Source organism: Homo sapiens, chromosome 1 (genome assembly GCF_000001405.40).
Source record: "Homo sapiens chromosome 1, GRCh38.p14 Primary Assembly".
Taxonomy (NCBI): domain Eukaryota; kingdom Metazoa; phylum Chordata; class Mammalia; order Primates; family Hominidae; genus Homo; species Homo sapiens.
Genome location: NC_000001.11, coordinates 166080511 through 166101389, shown reverse-complemented (window position 1 = coordinate 166101389; position 20879 = coordinate 166080511). Strand labels below are relative to the sequence as shown.

Below are 20879 nucleotides of genomic sequence, written 5' to 3'. Positions count from 1 at the left end.
GAGAAGTTTGATTGTCTGAAGCCTTCTTCTCTCAACTCCTCAAAGTTATTCTCTGTCTAGCTTTGTTCCATTGCTGGTGAGGAGCTGCATTCCTTTCGAGAAGAGGCGCTCTGATTTTTAGAATTTTCAGTTTTTCTGCTCTGTTTTTTCCCCATCTTTGTGGTTTTATCTACCTTTTGTCTTTGATGATGGTGATGTACAGATGGGGTTTTGGTGTGGATGTCCTTTCTGTTTGTTAGTTTTCCTTCTAACAGTCGGGACCCTCAGTTGCAGGTCTGTTGGAGTTTGCCAGAGGCCCACTCCAGACCCTGTTTGCCTGGGTATCAGCAGCGGAGGCTGCAGAACAGCAGATATTGGTGAACAGCAAATGTTGCTGCCTGATCATTCCTCTGGAAGTTTTGTCTCAGAGTGGTACCTGGCCATGTGAGGTGTCAGTTTGCCCCTACTGGGGGTGCCTCCCAGTTAGGCTACTCAGGGGGTTAGGGACCCACTTGAGGAGGCAGTCTGTCCATTCTCAGATCTCAAGCTGCATGCTGGGAGAACCACTACTGTCTTCCAATCTGTCAGACAGGGACATTTAAGTCTGCAGAGGTTTCTGCTGCCTTTTGTTTGGCTATGCCCTGCTCCCAGAGGTGGAATCTACAGAGGCAGGCAGGCCTCCTTGAGCTACGGTGGGCTTCACCCAGTTCGAGCTTTCCAGCTGCTTTGTTTACCTGCTCAAGCCTCAGCAATGGCAGGCGCCCCTCCCCCAGCCTTGCTGCCACCTTGCAGTTTGATCTCAGACTGCTGTGCTAGCAATCAGCAAGGCTCTGTGGGCATAGGGCCCTCTGAGCCATGCATGGGATATAATCTCCTGGTGTGCTGTCTGCTAAGACCATCGGAAAAGCACAGTATTAGGGTGGGAGGGACCCGATTTTCCAGGTGCCATCTGTCACCCCTTTCCTTGGCTAGGAAAGGGAAATCCCTGACCCCTTGCACTTCCTGGGTGAGGCAATGCCTTGCCCTGCTTCGGCTCATGCTAGGTGCACTGCACCTACTGTCCTGCACCCACTGTCTGACAATCCCCAATGAGATGAACCCGGTACCTCAGTTGGAAATGCAGAAATCATCCGTCTTCTGCATCGCTCCTGCTGGGAGCTGTATACTGGAGCTGTTCCTATTTGGCCATCTTGGAACTGCCTCCTCAAAGAATTTTTAGATTTCCATCTTGATTTTGTTTTTGACTCAATGCTCATTCAGGACCAGGTTATTTAATTTCCATGTATTTGGATGGTTTTGAAGGTTCCTTTTGGAGTTGATTTCCAGTTTTATTCCACTGTGATCTGAGAGAGTGCTTGATATAATTTCAGTTGTCTTAAATTTATTGAGGCTCGTTTTATGGCCTATCATATGGTCTGTCTTGGAGAAAGTTCCATGCACTGTTGAATAGAATCTGTATTCTGCGGCTGTTGTATATCTATTAATTCCGTTTGTTCCAAGGTATAGTTTAAATCCATTGTTTCTTTGTTGACTTTCTGTCTTAATGACCTGTCTAGTGCTGTCAATGGAATATTCAAGTCCCCTACCATTATTGTGTTGTTGTCTGTCTCATTTCTTAGGTCAATTAGTAATTGTTTTATAAATTTGCAAGCTTCAGTGTTAGGTACATATATGTTTAGAATTGTGATATTTTCCTTTTGGACGAGGCCTTTTACCATTATATAATGTCCCTCTTTGTCTGTTTTAACTGCTGTTGCTTTAAAGTTTGTTTTGTCTGATATAAGAATAGCTACCTACCCCTGCTCGCTGCTACCCCATTTGCATGAAATGGCTTTTTCCACCCCTTTAATTTAACTTTATATGAGTCTTTATGTGCTAGGTGAGTCTCCTGAAGGCAGCAGATAGTTAGTTGGTGAGTTTTTATCCATTCTGTGGGTTCTGCATCTTTTAAGTGCAGCATTTAGACCATTTACGTTCAATGTTAGTATTGATTTGTGAGGTACTAGTTGCATTCATCATGCTCTTTGTTGCCTGTGTACTTCGTTTTTTTGTTTGTTTGTTTTTGCTTTTTAACTTGTATTTTTGTTTTATAGGTCCTGTGTGATTTATGCCTTAAAGAGGTTCTGTTTTGATGTCTTTCTAGAATTTGTTTCAAGATTTAGAGCTCCTTTTAGCAGTTCTTACAGTGGTGGTTTGCTAGTGGAGAATTCTCTTATCATTTGTTTGTCTGAAAACAACTGTATCTTTCCTTCATATGTGGTGCTTGGTTTCTCTGGATACAAAATTCTTGGCTGATAATTGTTTTGTTAGAGGAGGCTAAAGATAGGGCCCCAATCCCTTCTAGCTTGTAGGGTTTCTGCTGAGAAATCTGCTGTTAATCTAATAGGTTTTCCTTTATAAGTTACCTGATGCTTCTGTCTCACAGCTCTTAAGATTCTTTCCTTCATCTTAACTTTGGATAACCTGATGACAGTGTGTCTAGGCAAAGATCTTTTCGTGATGAATTTCCCAGGTGTTCTTTGTGCTCCTTGTATTTGGATGTCTAGGTCTTAACTCTAGCAAAACCAGGGAAGTTTTCCTTGATTATTCCTCCAAATATGTTTTCCAAGCTTTTAGAATTATCTTTTTCCTCAGGAACACCGATTATTCTAAGATTTGGTCATTTAACATAATCCCAGACTTCTTGCAGGCTTTGTTCATATTTTATTCTTTTTTCTTTGTCTTTGTTGGATTGGGTTAATTCGAAGACTTTGTCTTTGAGCTCTGAATTTCTTTCTTCTGCTTGTTCAGTTCTGTTGCTGAGACTTTCCAGAGCATTTCACATTTCTGAAAGTGTGTCCAAAGTTTCTTGAATTTTTTATTGTTTTTTCTTTAAGCTGTGTATTTCCTTGAATATTTCTCCCTTCACTTTTTGTGTCATATTTTGGATTTCCTTGCACTGGGCTTCACCTTTCTCTGGTCCCTCCCTGAGTAGCTTAATAACTAACCTTCTGAATTCTTTCTCAGGTAAATCAGGTGTTTCTTCTTCGTTTGGATCAATTGCTGATGAACTAGTGTGATTTTGGAGGCGGCGGGGCAGGGCTGTTGAAGAGCCTTTTTTTATCATATTACCAGAGTTGGTTTTCTGATTCCTTCTCATTTGGGTAGTCTCTGTCAAAGGGAAGGTCTAGGGTTGAAGGCCATTGTTCAGATTCTTTTGTCCCACATGTGTTCCCTTGATGTAGTACTCTCCCCCTTTTCCTATGGATGTGGCTTCCTATTACCCAAACTGCAGTGATTGTTGTCTCTCTTCTGGGTCTAGCCACCCAGCGAGTCTACCCGGCTCCAGGTTGGTACTGGGAGTTGTCTACACAGAGTCCTGTGATGTGGGTCTATGGTTCTCTCAGCCATGGATACCAGTACCTGTTCTGTTGGAGGTGGCAAAGGGGTGTAGTGGACTCCGTGAGGGTCCTTGGCTTTGGTGGTTTAATTCTCTATTTTTGTGCTGGTTGGCTTCCTGCCAGGACATGGCGCTTTCCAGAGAGCATCAGCTGTGGTATTATGGGGAGGAACTGGTGGTGGGCAGGACCGTGTAACTCCCAAGATTATATGCCCTTTGTCTTCTGTTACCAGGGTGTGTAGGGAAGGACCATCAGGTGGGGGCGGGGCTGGGCATGTCTGAGTTCAGACTCTCCTTGAGCTGGTCTTCCTGCAGCTGCTGTGGGGATGGGGGTAAGATTCCCAGGTCACTGGAGTTGTATACCTAGGAGGATTATGGCTCCCTCTGTAGAGTCATATAGGTTGTCAGAAGTTGGAGAAAGCCAGCAGTCACAGGCCTTACCCAGCTCCCACGCAACCCAAAGGGCTGGTTGGTCTCAGTCCCCAAAGGGCTGGTCTCACTCCCACCATGCTCCCCGCAACAGTCCCCAGACCCTTTCCAGTTGGAGAGCCATATGGGCTTGAAAACCTGCCCCTGGCTATCTGCCTCTCAGCTGCAGAAGAAAAGGGGCTTGGTTCTTCCGCTTGCCTGTGCAGTCTGTATGCTGGATTTGCACCCTCCCCTGAGTTCTGGCCAGGAGGCTTCTCGCCCTATTCAAGTTGTTGCAGAGTTAAGCTAGAGAATTCCTTCCCCCTGTGGAGTTTTACCCACTGCTCCTCTCCCGTTGGATCCCTATGGTGCCAGGCAGGAATGGCCTGCTAGGGGACCCAGCAAGCTCCCAGGGCCTTTCTGCTGCTTCCTCTACTCCTGTATTTCTCTCAGCTCTCCAGACTGACTCAGCTCCAGGTAAAGTCGGAAACTTCTCCCACAAACAGACCTTCAGCTTCTCCGGCAGGGGTGTGTGTTCAAGAGAGGAGCGTCTCCCTTTCCTGCTTCTGCAGTTGGGGCACTCACAGTTTTGGGGGGTGGTCTCCTGGGTCGTGCAGGAGCAGTCCGCTTCCTTCAGAGGGTCTGTGCGTCCTCTCAGGATTGCTGGTTTGTTCTTGCAGTCGATCTGGACCTACAGCTTACAGTGTGAGCCGCCGCCCGCTGCTCTGTCCAGAGCTGCAATCTAGTCTTGCCTGCCATCCACCACGATCTCTCTCCCCTCGCCCCATTCTTTTTCTTTTGAAGACAACTCTTCATCTTCTCTGGATCGTAGGACTCCAGGCTGGTTTCTGGAGTCAAAGGTCAGCCTAGGGTGGGATGCAGGCATAGCTGCCATAGTAGGTATTCAGGGAGGAAGACCAACTGGGTAAGGAGAGGAGGACAAGAACATTGAGGCAGGCCTCTCTCACTACATCAGGACAGTTGGAGATACTCTCGTTCTACTTTACAGATGAGGAAACTGAGGCACAAAGCAGTCAAGTGACTCGCCCTAGGTCACATAGCTAGGACTTCGCAGAACCAGGAATGAGATCTATTATGGAGCAAGTTTTCCTTCTTAACAACAACAACAAAATGCTACCACTGACCAACCATCGAGAGGTTGTGCACATAAAGTCGTTTTTCTTGGAGAAGAGATGGATGTAGAGTGATCTATGCATGGGGCTGTTTGGGTTGGCCAGTGAAGTGAGCTACCCATCCACAGATGTAAGCAGCCCAAGCTCACTGTGTTATGCCAGAGTGGCCAGGCCATGTGCTGACCAGTGACCAGCCTGCCCTCAACAGTGGCTCCTGGGTAATAGTAGAACTCCAAGACCCAAGGGAGAGCTGAAATCCAAACTTATATTCTCCCCAGCAGTCAAAGCAAGTCAAGATGAAAATTTGCTGAGAACAGCAGAGGTTCGTGGGACGACTGGCAATTTGAGTTTCTTAGAGACAGATAATATGTTGATACCAGATGTCATCTTAAGCTAAAAACCTATGGTTACGTTGCTTAGATGATCTTTTTTATTTACTCTAACCCATAATCCAGAAGCCATTCTAGATTGAATGTGGGGCATTGAGCATTCCTGTGAGAACCATAGCTCAGTATTTTTAGGTGCTGCCATTTCCAGCTGGGGAATTACATTTCTGTCTGCAGCTTCCTGCATTTAGTATTTGATTTTCTCTGTGTTTAATCTTTCACTGATCCTGGGAGCCAGCACCTTACTCCTCTGTGCCACTGGAGTGTTGCCCCCCTACTCGTCACCACCCCAACACACACACACAGAACAGTTCCTGAATTGTTCATCTACTCAGGTCCCAGAGACCTACCTGGGTTGGGGGTGGGGGTGGTCTGTGTAGCACTTACTATCTATCACGTAAGCAATTCCCTGCCCTTTTCCTCCTGCCCCCTTTTTGGCAGGATGAGGAGAGGGGACTCTGAGGAGGCCTGGGGTTCCTGCGGGCTCACAATGACTGGGGCAGAGGTGGAGGGGCTGGCCATAACGCTCCTATTAAAAACAGTATGAAGTTCCTAATCTCCCTTCCCCTGCCCATGCCCAGCATTGGCTAGGAAGAGTACACATGCCCCCAAAGGCACCTGAACCTCTGGGCAGCACCAGGCCTATTTGAGCCTCATCAGCATTCCTGTCTGCCTGTCCTGGTTCCTGGCCCACTGGCTGTACTGACCACTCTACCCTCCCCTCTGCCATCTTTAAACCTGTCCAGACTGTTCAGCACACCTCTCTTCTCACCCATGATAGCTTTGCACTCTTCTGCTGCCACCTGCACTCCGGCTGCTCTTGCGGGGCTGCTGCATCGAGTATGCCATGCTCAAGGGAAGGGAGCCCACTCCGCACACAGGGCATGGGCAAGCCCTTTGGGAACGGGGAAATGCAACCACCCTGAGGACGGACCTTCCAAGCCTCTGAGGGCAGGGTTGTCAGCAGACTTGCTTCTGCAAGGATGGTGATGACTCTGCAAGGACTGGTATGGACAGACAGAGTCATCATTAGACCAGGTCTAATGATGAAGGCAGAAGTGTCCTGAGCATCAGACCTGTCAGCTCAGCCACCTGCTGATTTGGTCACCTTAGACAAGTCTCTTCAGCTCCCTAAACTTATTTTCTTATAGACAGAACCAATCTAATAATATCTACTAGGCAGAAGGGTCATTCTGAAGGTGAAACAAAGAAATTTATGTAGCATGCTCTAAACCCTCCAGCATTCAATAGGTGTATAAACCTCAGTAAGTGTTACTAGCACTGTTATTGCTGTCACGACCAAGGAAGTTCTGTCTTGTCCCTCCCGGCATGTCTTAACCTCACTTGGTATCCAGATGTCCTCCTTATCTTTTCAGGGCTCCGTCCAGAATATGTGACCATTTTGATTCATGGGAGCATCCATATAGGGTCAGAATATTCACTGCAGAAACATTAAGGCACATTCTGTCTCCACATCTATAGGGCACTCCTGCATTATCAGTCTTCTAAGAAAATTGCAGACTGTTGGAAGTCAAGGAACATCTGCCCTGACAGATCACAACAGCACAAATTTACAGACTCATCACCACACAGTGCAGCCTGGCCACAGGCAGTTCTGGGTCCATAGTGATTGGGAAATGCCCACTGCAGCTCTCTGTCAAAGAGCAGGTGTCAGCATTGCATGCACACTTCACAGTGGAGAGCCCCGCCATGGCATGAGACTGAGCCCTACATGGAGCACGGGACACAGATTCTCTTTATAGCTGTCCCAAAGCAGGGTGGTAGCCTTCTGCTTCTGTCTCCAGACTGCAGCCTCCTGCTCCATCAGGGCCCACTTGCCTACAGTCATTCCTGCCACCTCTGTTCCTGCTCCTTGCTTGCCATCATTTTTCCCTTGGCTGTAGGCATGGGCATGTTCCTAAGTGCTATCTGTTCTGATGGCTTCTGCTCCGGGGTTGCATTCGGTGCTTCCTGTTTGGGATCAGCCCTGCATCCCAACGTCCTGCTTCCTTCCCCTGCTGCACCACTGGCTCAATAAAGCAGAGATTCAAGAACACCACACACACACACACACACACACACACACACACACACACACACAGTCATTCGCAAGCCCTGTGTGCCCCTCTTCCCTGTCCCCCATACCCCCACCCTGCTCCTCTCTCCCCGTGCACCGTCATTGATCCTGGGCCTATGCAAGTCCCTCTGCAGCAGCCCTATTCTGTATCATCCTAGCCAATCAGGACACATCAAGGTATAATTCAAATCTTTCCTAAGAAAATCAATGCTTGCCTTACCACCAGAGCCCAATCTACAACTGCGAATTTTATTGCTTTCTTTAAAAAAAAAAAAAAGTGTTTCCCATGTGACCTGCTTGTCTGCTATTTACAGGCCCTGGAGAAGCCTCGGCTGATCAGAATTCTTTTATTCTGCAAAGAATTGCCCTGAAATACTTTTCTCTCATGAGTTTGTCCTCAATTAATTTGGCAAAGGTTCAGTCTCTTAGCGCCTTTACATGTGAGAAGGAATAGAAAGATATTTTATGTAAAAGAAGGCAAGCCCCTGGCTTTAAAATGGGGATCCATGGTCCTATAGGGCCAAACATGTCAGGGCAGTAATGTTTCTGTTTCTTCTCTTCTGTCTTTGACCCAGGAGAAAAGGATATAAAAGGAGACAAATGCCCTGTCGGCCTCTTGTTTCCTGGTGGGAGCAATGGGAAGGGCAGGAACTTGGAACCTCTGCTTGGAGATGAGGATTTAAAATCATTTTTATCATTTTCCTGCTGATTACAACCATTGTTCACACCTGGAATGTAGACATGACTTGGCCATGTCTTCTTCCCACCTTTCTGCCGAATATCTGTTCTGGACCATTTCTCACAAACTGCATGCCCCACTTTGAGAAGCTGGAGAGATATATATTTGAAAAAACATAAAACAGGAAAATTTAATAGGTGTTTATTTACATATTACATAAAGCGTTTTCTATTCCAAACAATACTTCTCTCAGGGCTCCTTTGAGGAGTAGCTACCCAAGTATATTTTTTTATTTTTTTAAATATATTCTTAACTAATATTGTTGTTATAAGTGGATTTGTGTGAGTGTAGGTTTGGGGCTCAGACCCAGGTTTGATTTCAGCCCGGCCACTTAACGGCAAGTTAGAATGTCTCTGAGATCCAGTAAGCTTGTCTGATGATGATCATATCCACCTAACCAACATTGTTGGGAGGATTTAACAAGTGACTTATTCCTTCATTTATCAAAAATGTGTATTAGAATGGCATTTCTGAAGGCCTCTTTTACTCTCACTGTATCACACAAAAATAACTAACTAGACAGATGTCATCAAATTTAAAGAGTATGTTTGGGATGGTTGGACCTAAAATGAAAGCTGTGCTGTATACACAAAATTCATATTGGGGAGCCCACGCCCTCGGGTCACAGGGGTCAGGACTGGAGTTCTGGGTGGGCACAGCCAGCTTGCAGCTGAGGAGCATGGGATAAAGGGGAATCAGAGTCTGCAACCTTCATGACAAGATCAGGCTTAAGGAAGCTTGAGGCTTAAAGACCAGTAGGCATAGAATAGGCAGAGAACCAAAACTGAATCCACAGCAAGGGGCCTACAGAAGAGAAGAGGCAGGGTAGGACTAACTAGGGGTGGAAGGAGGTAGAGGAGGTGTTGACCACTTGGAGGGGCCCGTTTGAACAAGCCCCTGGTGGGCAGGTGTGGTTAGCAATGCCAGGGAGGGTTGGGGGTGCAGGCTGCACATAGGGCAGGACAACTCAGCATCCCCCACTGGAAGGAGGAGGGCTGTGGCTCTGCCATCCAAGGGATACTGCCACACTTTTTATTCTCCACATCAGTGCTCGCTTCCATTGGCACAGATAATTAACAAACATTGATGGTAGCTCATTAGCTAATTATTTCTGGCTCATGTTTACCAAGTATACTACAGGTATTTTGGGCAGATCATCCTGCTGAGAGCTAAGTTCTGGAAAATTCCTCAGAAAGATAGACTTTTGATACATAAGCTTCCCCCACTTTTTGTTTTGCAAAAAAAAAAAAAAAAAATGATGGCTCAATCATGTTAACCACACAGTGTCTGTCCAGGTTCTCCTGCTGTCTTGCTTCATTGAGAAGCAGGGGTAGTGTGGTAGAAAACGTAACAGAATGTGGATGTAGGTTTAAGACCTCTGTCTCCATCACTTATGAACTGTTGGACTTTGAGAAAATCACGTAACCTTTCTGAGCTCTGGTTTCCTTGTTTTTAAGGTAGAGGACATAATACCTATTTCATAGCATTATTGTGAAGATTAAATGAGATCATTTATGTGGGGATTGTTTTGTGAAATGTAAGGTACTAAGTCCATATCTGGTTATGGTTACCTTCCCATGAATTCAGCCTCCAAATCCTTATGGAGGATCTCCGTGGCAATGTCAGGTGGCAGGACCAGTAAAGAATTAGGCTTGAGATACCATCTGTATTAGTCTGTCCTCATGCTGCTGGTAAAGATAGATACACCTGAGACTGGACAATTTACAAAAGAGAGAGGTTTATTGGACTTAGAGTTCCATATGGCTGGACAGGCTTCACAATCATGGTGGAAGGCAAGGAGCAGCTAATCACGTCTTGGATGGCAGCAGGCAAAAAGAGCTTGTGCAGGGGAACTCCCCCTTTTTAAAACCGTCAGATCTCGTGAGACTTATTCACCATCATGAGAACAGCAAGAGAAAGACCTGCCCCCATGATTCAGTTACCTCCCACTGAGTCCCTCCCCCAATATGTAGGAAATCAAGATGAGATTTGGGTGGGGACACAGCCAAACCATATCACCATCCTTCTTGCACCAACCCAACCAGACTTTCATGGGGGAGCTGTCAAGGCCACCACCTCCCCTTCAGCCTTGACTTCCCTCACTCTTGGCCCAACATTGTGTTTAAGAAATACAGAAACAAGTAGTTCTACCCTTCCTGCCCGTGCCACACCTTGAGGCCATTGTTCATGCTGCTTCCTCCTCTGCTGCTCATCCTTCACCCAGGATGCTGCTCAGGAGCCAGTCAGCCTACGTTCAAATCCTGTGTTGCCCTAGGCCAGTTTCTTCACCTCCCCAAACCTCAGTCGCACCCCCACCCCAACTTTAAAATGGAAATAAAGTTAGTACCAGCTTCACTGGGTTGTTGTGAGGATTGATCAGTTGGTGCATGTGAAGTGCCATGAGCAATACCTGCACAGAGTAAGCCCTCAATAAACACTAGCCATCATTATGGTCACCATCATCCACCTCTTCCCAGATGGCCAGATGGCTTTTGCTGCTGCCCCTGATGACATGTCTCTGTCCCCAAATATCCCACATTGTATTGAAGTGATCTGCTCTAATTCTGTCCCAGAATTAGAGCAGGGACACCATTTCATGAGTCTTGTTGTCGCCTGCACCCAGGACAGTACCAAGCACATGGCAGGTGGTGAAGAAATCATTCGAACTGATGGCTCATGAGCCATATCTCTGAGGTGGCTTTTATTACTGACTTTGATTGGGACTGCATTCCCTTCAAAGGGGTTAGTTTTACCCATGAAAGGACCGAGTTAATAGCCTGTGACCTTGGAGAGCTCTCATTCCATTGTCCTTGGAGTGGCCTCCTCCTTTGGTTCCTGACACCTACTTCCCCTGTTTTGTTTTTTTCAGCCTAGTCTTCCTGTTGAGTAAGGGTTCAGTTTCAGTGAGGCATTGCTCTGCCTGTCCGGAACCTGAGAAGGTTCATGTGTCAGTGTGTGGACAGATGATTGTGATGACCAGGCTTAGAAAATGTTGTATGTTTGTTTGTGTTTACGTGCTCAGAAGCCCTAAAAAGTGTTGCATGGGGGATTGGACTTTTCATTTCTTAGTTTTCACATGGACATCTTTTGACCTGTACTGGAGTTCAGGGCCAGAAAGTAGACACTGGGAAGAAGATTACAGGGCTCTGGGAGGACAGGAGCAGCATTGTATAACTGACCTGGGTAGGAACCTCAGGACCTCACTTTTATTTTGAAAGAGCTATTTCTGCAAGAGGCAATTATTGGCTTCCTGTTTGGCTTTCGATCCTCCCCTGCCTCTGCTGTTCAACTTTATAATTGCTGCCAGGAGGGCGAAGAGCCCCAGTGTGGCTCAGGGACAGTGGGAGCTGAGTCTCGAGGAGTCTGTGCAGCGCTGCCAGCCACAGGGCTCTGTACCACTGAGGGAAAGCTGCTCTTTAACCCCCACCGCGGTTATGTTAACAGAGTTCCCTTTTCCCTGGAGAGAGCTCCCTCCTACTGAGTCCAAGGGATACTGGTGACATCTGGAGTGCAGGGCCACCCCATAACACAGGGACATAGGCACCATCGGTACCCTCCCCCTCACCCCCCATTCCAGAGCTCTCTCTTATTTCCTTGCCAGTTCCCAGTCCCAGGGCACTCTGGATGCCCTAACTGTACAAAACTCCATCACAAGGCTGCATCTTCCCCTTCCTAGGAGCCTCAAAACAGGCCATGCTTCATGGCTGCCCCTCTGAAATCTTAAATGCAAACAGCCCACTCTCAGGTCTTCCTCCTGACCCATTCTTTCACTTCCTAGAGCCCTCTGCTTTTTCCCTGCTGCCCACCGTGGTACCTCTCAGGCACATCACTGCCACCACTCCCTTCCCACTCTCCTCCATCCTCTTGCCCCTTGTCGCTACCTGTTTCATGTAGACATTCACTCTTCATACACGCTGATGGAATACCACTATATCCGAGGCTGTGGTGGATCCTCGTCAGTAGCAGTGATCAGTTAAGGTGTTCCAATCCACACGAAGAGAGACACATTAAATCATAAATAGGTTCACATGTATATAATTACAAATGGTGATAAGTTCTATGAATCAGGAGAAGATGCAGTTCTATAGCAGAGACCTAGTTTCGTTCAGCGTGGGAGGAGGTGGTGCATGGATCAGGGGAGGTATCCCAGAGGAAGTGACACTTGGGTTTAGACCTAAGGATTACTCAGTTGCCCAAGGGAGCAGTGGGAAAAAGTACCTTCCAGACAGTGTCTGCCGAGGCTCTGAGGCAGGGAAGAGCCTGGCATGTTGGAGGACCATAAGGAAAGCTATTGGGGGTGGAAAGCTGTTTGCAGTGGAACACTGAGAGCATGGGGGAGTGTGGTGTGAGATGAAGCTGGGGAGTCAGAGGCCAGAGGATGCAGGACTGTGTGGAGCACATTAGAGGTTTGGGTGGTATTCTACCAGTACTGGGAAGCCTCTCAAGAATTGTACACTGGAGGAGCCCACTAGCCCCACACAGCCCAAAGCCCAGATTCACCCAGTGTCTGCCCCCTCTGCCCCTCCCCGTGGTTGGCCAAATACTTCGGGTCAGTCCTACATCCCTCCAGAAGTCAGGCAGGCTGGAACAGTCAGGAAGCCCTTCACAGAGGATTGAAGGGTGGGAATGACTTGGCCATAGCTGTATGCCAGTCCGTGAGGCCTGGAAATTGCAGTAAGTGTGACACCTACCGTTCCACATACTTCTCATGTAACCCACATGGCAGCTCTGCAAGAAGGCATTATTATCCCATTTTACTGCTCAGAAGACTGAGGCCTAGGAGAGCCTTCGTGACAGTCATGCTGCTGAGTGACAGACCAGATAGTGGGCCTGGATCTTCTGAGTCCAAACCCAGTGCTCTTTCTGCCCCACCCAGCAGGGTCTGCAGATGGGAGAAAACTCCCTTGGGAGGGAGTGAGGAGAACATGGAGCACAGTGGAGTAAAGGGCCATGCAGGGATGACACTGGTGTTCCTTTTGAATCCACAGCAGTTCCCATGCAGCGTTGATGGGCTCCTGAATACAGACGAGTCATAAAGCACCTGATTTCAATTTAACATCTAAAGAGCGTGAGGTTCCAGAGGCCTCTGTTGCATAGCTGTTCCCCTGCTGGTTCTCACATGGATGCCAGAATCATCAGAGCAGAGATGATCCATCCAGGGACAAAAGCCAGTCTCTTGAGTGTTGGAAGGAGATGACCAACAGCTTGAGCAGAATTGGGTCAAAGCATCTGCAGCCTGGGCTTTGCGTTGGGGCAGGCTGACTTCTGAACCACCCTCCCCAGGGTGCAGAAGGTAAAAGCAGCAGACACAAGTACCCTCTGCCATCCCCAGCACCCCAGAATGCTCTCCAGCCTGAGCGGCACTCCTCCCATTCCTCCTTGCACTGTAGTCATTTACTTACGGCTTATGCCTGCTAGTAGCCAGGTCAGAGTCATCTTTGTGTGTCTCCCTGCCCACCCCCTGCCCACATACTGTCTTAGATGCCTACACATTTCAAACATCACACGTTAAAAGAATTAACCAATCAATTAAGTAATGTAACTTTTAAAAATTGACAACACAACACAGTCATGTGTATGTCTCCTCTGGGTTTAAGTCCCAGCTCTGCCACTTACAAGCTGGGCAAAGAGAGACACATTACTTAACTTCTCTCCATCTAAGTTGTTGCATTTGTAACACAGGACTTACAGTGCCCCCTTCACAAGGACTTACGATGACCAAATTAGTTAACCCATACAAAGTACCTAACATGGTGCCTGAAGTACGCTAGGTGCTCAAGACATGGTAGTTTTCCTTCCACAAGTACTTAAATTTGGCCTGTTGAGGTATCTGTTAGGGTGAGAATCCTGCCTCCATGGTTTACTCCAGTTGTCATCCTTGGTGTCACTGTGTCTCAGTTTCCTCCTTTGCAAAATGGAGATGGTGGGCTGGGCACGGTGGCTCTTGCTTGTAATCCTAGCATTTTGGGGAGCTGAGGCAGGTGGATCACAAGGTCAGGAGTTCAAGACCAGCCTGGACAACATGGTGAAACCCCGTCTCTATCAAAAATACAAAAATTAGCCGGCATGGTGGCGGGCGCCTGTAATCCCAGCTACTTGGGAGGCTGAGGCAGGAGAATCGCTTGAAACTGGAAGGCAGAGGCTGCAGTGAGCCGAGATCGTGCCATTGCACTCCAGCCTGGGTGAAAGAGTGAAACTCCATCTAAAAAAAAAAAAATGGAGATGGTAATCATAATAGCCGCCCGGTAGTGTTGTTGCAGATTAAATGAAAGCCAGTGTGTGTACCACTTTCATCCACAATCACTGAGACAGACATCTCACCTGGGCCACACTGCATGTGGCCACACTGCATGTAGCCACACTGGGGGAACATTTAGGCATCCCTAGAAATTTTGCAGTCTCTCTGCCCCTCTAGTTTGATAATACCCATGTGAATTCCTCTGTCCACACGTGTGGACAGTGTGGCCCCACCTCTGCCAACTGCAGACAGGCACTCCTTTTGTGTGCTAAGCTGGCATCTGCCTGGTAAGACATGTCTATGGTCCTGTCACCAGGGTACACACTCAGCTGCCAGCATCTTTATATCTCCTGCCCCAGCTCAGCTGCTGCCGGAAACTCCCCACATCTGCTGCCCTACTCAGCATGCAGTGAAATGTGGCATGCAAAGAACACAAAGTGGAAAGTTAATGAAAACAATAAACTCTGATTTTAAAGTCTGTGCTGCTAGAGCACTCCATCCTCAGCCTCTCCCCTTCTGTTTTCCTGTGTCTGCCTCCCTCTGCCCCGCTTTCATGACCTTGACCCTTCCCCCTACACCTTGAGCATTATTTGGTGGAAACTGGGAAGCCCCTTCCATCTTCCCACCCTTACCCTGCCCAGCGCCAGTGAGAGAAATGAGAGAAATGACTGCTCCAGCAGCAGAGTCCTGCCCTTCTGCCACTGTGCTTTCTTTGGGGACATTCCTCTGCTCTAGTGTCACCTATGAGGAAACCCTGTGCTGTGGGGATGGTGGGGGAGGGAGAATCAGGTTAGAGGACCTGGGTCAGTACTGGCTGCAAAAGCCTTTGGTTTTGACCAGGAAGAGGGGTCAAAGGTACCGGAGAGCCAGAGGCCAGAGTTAAGTTTGTCCCATCTCTGCCACTTATTTGCTTTGTGACAATGGCGAGTCATTTAGCCTGAGCCTCAGCTCCTTTATGCAAAAAAAAAAAAAAAAAAGAGTAACATAGTACCTACTTTGAAGGTTACTATAGCAAGAATTTAGTAGACTGCCTGGAAGCCTTCAGTAAATATTAGCTCCTCTTACCTGTAGTAGCAGTATTAATAATACCTGACATTTGAGATTCCTGCCTCTAGCCTGTCTTGATCTTCTCAACTTTGTCACCACAGATGTTTTGCTGTGTGACTCTCCTGGCCTTGTTCTTGCCCTAGTAAACACATCTCTTTATTTCCTGGTTTCCAGACTTTGGATTTCCTGGTTTCCAGACCACTGAGGCCAAGGAGCCCCCAGCCCAGACTTGGCATTGACTCCCAGGTACCCAGACCCTGTCGGTTATGTTCTTTCTGGTCATAGTCACTTGTCATGGGGTCACTGAGGCCTCTAACCAGGGAGGCAGGAGAAAGGCAAGAATGCTGTCTGATAGAAGGGCTGATAGTGCCCTGCACTCCTGCTCACACGCTGTGCCCAGCAGACCTGCCCTGGTTCATTCATTCATTCAGCTGATAAGTATCTAGTAACTCCTGATTGATCTTGGAGAAGACTTGACAACCATGTCTTTATCAGTGTCTCCTTGACCTTGAACATTTGTTCTCCTTAATGATTCCCAAATCAGATGGGAATAAATTGCAGGAAGTGCTGTCTAGGCCAAAAGATCTGAAGAGATCTTGAGTTCTGACCCCACCCTCCGAAGCTAGCACATCAGCTTTAGGTCCAGATGGGAAGGGATGGTACAGTGGCCCCCCTTCCCCTGAGCTGCCCAGGGTCCCCAGCCAACTATGCTCAGTGTTCATTATCTCCATCAGATGCATATGCTGCCATTAGATTCAGCCACAAAAAAACTAGTCGTGTCTTTACAAGTAACAGTTAAAACTGCAGATGTTCTGTGCTAAAACAGTCCATGGGATGCTAAAACAGTCCATGAGATGAGGATGCACTGCCAAACTGTGCCAGTTAACCAAGACAGGGTAAATGGCGGAGGGCCCCAAGAGCTTCTCTTCCAGGGATCCACCAGAAGGTTCCATACTAGGAGTCTTCCTTGACAAATAAGGTAAAAAGAAATAAGTGCACCACACCTTCTCTGTCAATGCCCAGGCACAAAGGGAAAAAAATAAGAAGAAAGGCATTAGGTGTTCACGGTGTTAAGGCCTTTTATAGCCACAGGACCTGCAGGATTGTAGACTCCAGGTACAGGCACCAAGGTAAGCCAGGCTTTGGGGCTGGGATCCAGGCCATGTGCAGGCAGGAGTGGTGCCCCACTTCCACCACCTGATGCGCAGGTGGCAAGCCTGACAAGCAGCAAGTCAGAGACATCCAGCAGGGCTCAAGAGCTGTAGTCCTCCCAGCTGCAGGTGTCACAGGAGACTCATTCAGGAGGAGCTAGAACCCTGATAGGAGAGTAGACGTGGACCCAGGTGCAGGGAAGCCACTCTGAATCCCTGGGAGCCTTACAGCCTTACAGTGTGGTGTCCTGTATTCTGGGAGAAGCAACTCATCCCTTGGGAATAACCACTATATTTCTCTTTTCTGAAACCATAACTCTTCCCTTGTGGCCCTGAAAATTGCACTCGCCATCAGCACAAGGACTGAGGTCTTTGGTCAGAGATTATAGGAGCTGGACATATCCTTATCCATGAGGTTGTTTATTCTACTCTCTGTTTTATAGATGAGGAAACTGAAGGTGAAAGGGCTCACTTTGGAGCCCAAAAGTCATGCCAGAAAGGGCATCTAGGCTGGTAGCTTCCAGAGCAGATATTTTTAGACTTGAGACCCTCACCAGATGAAATTATATGCAAAGAGAGAGAGAGAAAGAGAGAGAGAGAGAGAGAGAGAGAGAGTGTGTGTGTGTGTGTGTGTGTGTGTGTGTGTGGTTTCTACATCCTCTGTGTTATCCACAAAGTCTAACACAATGTTAAGAACAAAGTAGGTGCTCTTTGTGAAAAGAATACTATCTGTGGATGTGCGTCTTTCTTGGTGCATGCCATGAATGAATCATTTCTCTACTTCAGTGTCCTTATTATGTAAATAAAGTGTGGCCATCTACCCTCCTGTTACCTTGTCAAGATGGAAGGGAAATACTCAGTTCTTACTTGCGTAAAGGGAGGAAATGAGTCCTACCCTTTGAAGAAGCTCAGGTCCCAGCCAGCCAACATCCTTTTTGAATGAGCAATACCCATAATAATAGTTCTCATTTGTGAGCTGTTATGTGCCACGCAGGCATGATATAGATTAGTTTTCATAGGGTTCTCATTAAAAAAAAAAAAAAAAAAAAAAAAGCTGGGTGCGTGGCTCACGCCTGTAATCCCAGCACTTTGGGAGGCCGAGGCAGACGGATCATGAGGTCAAGAGATCGAGACCATCCTGATCAACATAGTGAAACCCGTCTCTACTAAAACTACAAAAATCAGCTGGGCGTGGTGGCACGCACGTGTAGTCCTAGCTACTCCGGAGGCTGAGGCAGGAGAAGCACTTGAACCCAAGAGGCAGAGGTTGCAGTGAGCTGAGATCGCGCCACCGCACTCCAGCCTGGGTGACCGAGCAAAACTGCATTTCAAAAAAAAGGAAAAACCTACAGCGTGGGTTTTGTTATTATCCCCATTCACATAAGAAATGAAAGCCCAAAGAGGCTTAGTGATTTGTCCAAGGCCACGTGGTAGCAGGTGGTAACATCCAGATTTGCATGCAGGTCTTGGGAGTCCCACCCCGCACTCTTCCCCTACCCCTCCTCTCTCTTTCCCTGAAATGCTTCATATTCATTCTATGTAATTCTGTGAGGTAACTCATTCCTTTTTATTACAGAATAAAGACAAATTAATTTTTTTAATGAGAATATTCACAAAATAAAGAGAAAACTCCTATAGTCCCACAACTATAGATAAGCACTTTTCACATTTTGGTGTATCCACCCAATAATGTCTTTTCTCAGGTTAACTAAGGTTTGCCTATAATAGCAGAATTCCAAAATAAGAAGGAAAAAAACACACATCCACTCCCCATCTCCTCTACCTGCCATTTGTCTGGCTTCAAGGGCTGCAAGTAGAGGATACAGTCTACTGCCATGGGCTGGATTGAATGTGTGTTGCACCCCCATGCCCCTCAATGCCACCACCCAGCCCCTACATCCTCTCCCAGCTTAGCTGGGCTCCTATTTAATGCAAGCTGTCAGAGGAAAGGCACTTAGTACCTTGCCAGGAGCCCCAGGGACACTCGTTCCAATGTGTCTGCATTCAGTCCCTTCCCATCCCTTCGGCTGTCACGTGGGACTCTCCCCTAGACTCCAGAAGAGCCTTCCCCATCTTACTCCCTCTGCAGCTCCCTTGAACTCACCTCACAGCCAGCCCTACCTGCTCTTCCAGAAACACTTGCCCCATTCATTGCGCTGCTTGAAGGAAGCACCTGTTCTGGGCTCTTCTGGAGGTACTGAAGATGCAGCAAAGCCTGTCCTCAGGACGCATGCAGTCTAGTGGAAAACTGTCATAGACACAAGCAAATCAGCACACTGAAATGCATATGCAATTGGAAGCCACTCTCAGAAGGTGGCCTGGAGCTGCAAGTTGAGGATGAAAGGGAGCCAAGGGTGGTGGCTTATGCCCATAATCCCAACACTCTGTGGGGGTTGAGGCAGGAAGATCATTTGAGCCTAGGAGTTCAAGACCAGCCTGGGAAAGGTAGTGAGACCCCATCTCTATTTTCAGAAAAAGAAAAGGAGTCCAGGTTGTAAAGAACTGAAAGAAAATGGTCCTGGGCAAAGGGAACAGCAAATCCAAAGGCCCAGCAAGTCCAGTGGGAGGAAGCTTATCTTGTTGAAAAGTGAAAAAAGTTGAAGTTGCTGAAGTCTAGAGAGCCAGAAGGGAGGGGGTGAGGATGAATGAGGCTGGAGAACTGGTGGGGCAAATAAGGAAACATGGACATCTGGGTGCAGTAGAAAACCATCATAGGATTTTTCAGAGATGAGACATGGCCTGATGTACATTTTATAAAAACCATATTCGTGGCTTGCAGGGGCAGCACAAGCTTGGAAGCAGTGTCCCAGTGAGGAGAGGACCTGCATGGTCCCGGATAGAGGAGAAATGGCTTGGAGAAGGGTGGCGGCCATGGGGTTAGACAGAAGAGACAAATTCTGGCCATATTGTAGAGGCATAGTGGAGAAACATGTTGGTCTAAGAGCAGGTGAGGATTGGGGCATGGTGAGGGACAGGCAGGTCTCTGTGCTCGCCACCTGGAATGCTGCCCACATCGATTCCCCCTCATCTTTTGGGGTCCCACTGCAGCCCCATTTCCCCTTAGGAGGCCTGCTGACCTCTACCTCCAGCCCCAGTTTCCTCTGCTTCCTCTTGGCACCCCCAGAGCCTGGCATAAGCAGGGCCTTACTCCTGTGGGAAGGCATCTGACCTGCCACCTTGGGTGGGCTGTGACCTTCGGGATGGAGAACAAATGCCACTGGGCCTGGCACAAGTCCCAGTGACTGGTAAGGAGCCAAAAGGGCTTGCTGTGTGGTCAGGGGACACGACCCTTGTAAGGGACACAGCCTGGGCCTGCACGGCGCTCTGCAGGCATTAGAGAACACTGCTTCTCTGTGTGGGGTAAGGCGCTTTGCTCCAAGAAACTCAGAATTGGAGTCGGAAGTCAACCATTTTCAGATGTGACCTAGAAAACTGGCCAACGACCCCAGACCTCAGGGCTGTCAAATTGAAACAAGTCAGCAGAGGACTCTGAGAACCCAGCTGGGGCAACTTACTTAGAGGGCACAAGGTAACCTGACCTCCACGTGGTGAAGGTTAAATACACAGTGAGAAGATGTCTCTAATGCTGGAAGAACTCACCCTAAACAGGACGCAAGAGTGGTAACAAACATGAAGCCTGTCTCTGCACTGATGACTCTTGAAAAACACTGCAAATGATCTTTTCTGCAATAGGAAAAATGCCTCCTTGTGCGCCAAAAAGAAAAGGATGTGGTCAGAAAGGAAGTGGGCGGAGGGGAAAGTGGGAGGGGGGAGTATTTACAGGCTGCTTGGAGTCTGATATAAACAGTGCGGAATGAGGAAAATCCTAATTTTAACACTTACTCTGTAATCATGGTTGCAAAGCATCTGAGAATCAGGACCTCTGCCAGAGGCAGGGCTGGAAATTGGTCTCAGGGGCCAGGTGGCTGCCCAGGTGACAGGCGCCTGGCCTGGCTCCCCTCTGACCCCAGCCTTGTGTCAGACTCCACCTCCGTGCCTCCTCTCTCTTCACTGTCCCACCATGCACTGTTATTTCCAGCTCCTCCTGTGGAGGGGTTGGGAGGAGAAAGTTGCTGCAAAGTCAGCAATGACACGGAACATGAGACTCACGTGACTGGGAGCACATTGCTCTCCTTCACGTTAGATGAAAAGCCTCAATGCTCAGGGTGTGGTGTTCTCTTTAACTAAACTTGCCACATACCCAAATAGTAGAGCCTTAGGTTCCAGCCATGAAGATGAAGAGAAAAGGCAGAAGCCTCTTTTCCCACCCTCTAAGTGCAGTAAAGTTAACGCAGCAGTCAGGATTCCTTTAAAGAGTAGGCTGAACATAGCGGTTAGACCA

General features: G+C 47.9%; 1 protein-coding gene and 1 long non-coding RNA gene across 7 annotated transcripts in view; one reads left to right on the top strand and one right to left on the bottom strand.

Moving 5' to 3' along the window:
- FAM78B (family with sequence similarity 78 member B) overlaps window positions 1-20879 on the top strand; it is a 111084-nt gene that overhangs the window by 65612 nt on the left and 24593 nt on the right. The window lies entirely within an intron of this gene.
- FAM78B-AS1 (FAM78B antisense RNA 1) lies at window positions 9823-20654 on the bottom strand. 3 transcript variants are annotated; one of them, NR_184317.1, is made up of 3 exons: window positions 20138-20654; window positions 18642-18785; window positions 9823-14303 (listed from the first exon to the last, which is right to left on the bottom strand). It is a non-coding gene; the product is annotated as an FAM78B antisense RNA 1 (long non-coding RNA). The 3 variants fall into 3 exon arrangements; NR_184318.1 differs by having other exon boundaries at window positions 18659-18785; NR_184316.1 differs by having other exon boundaries at window positions 20381-20654.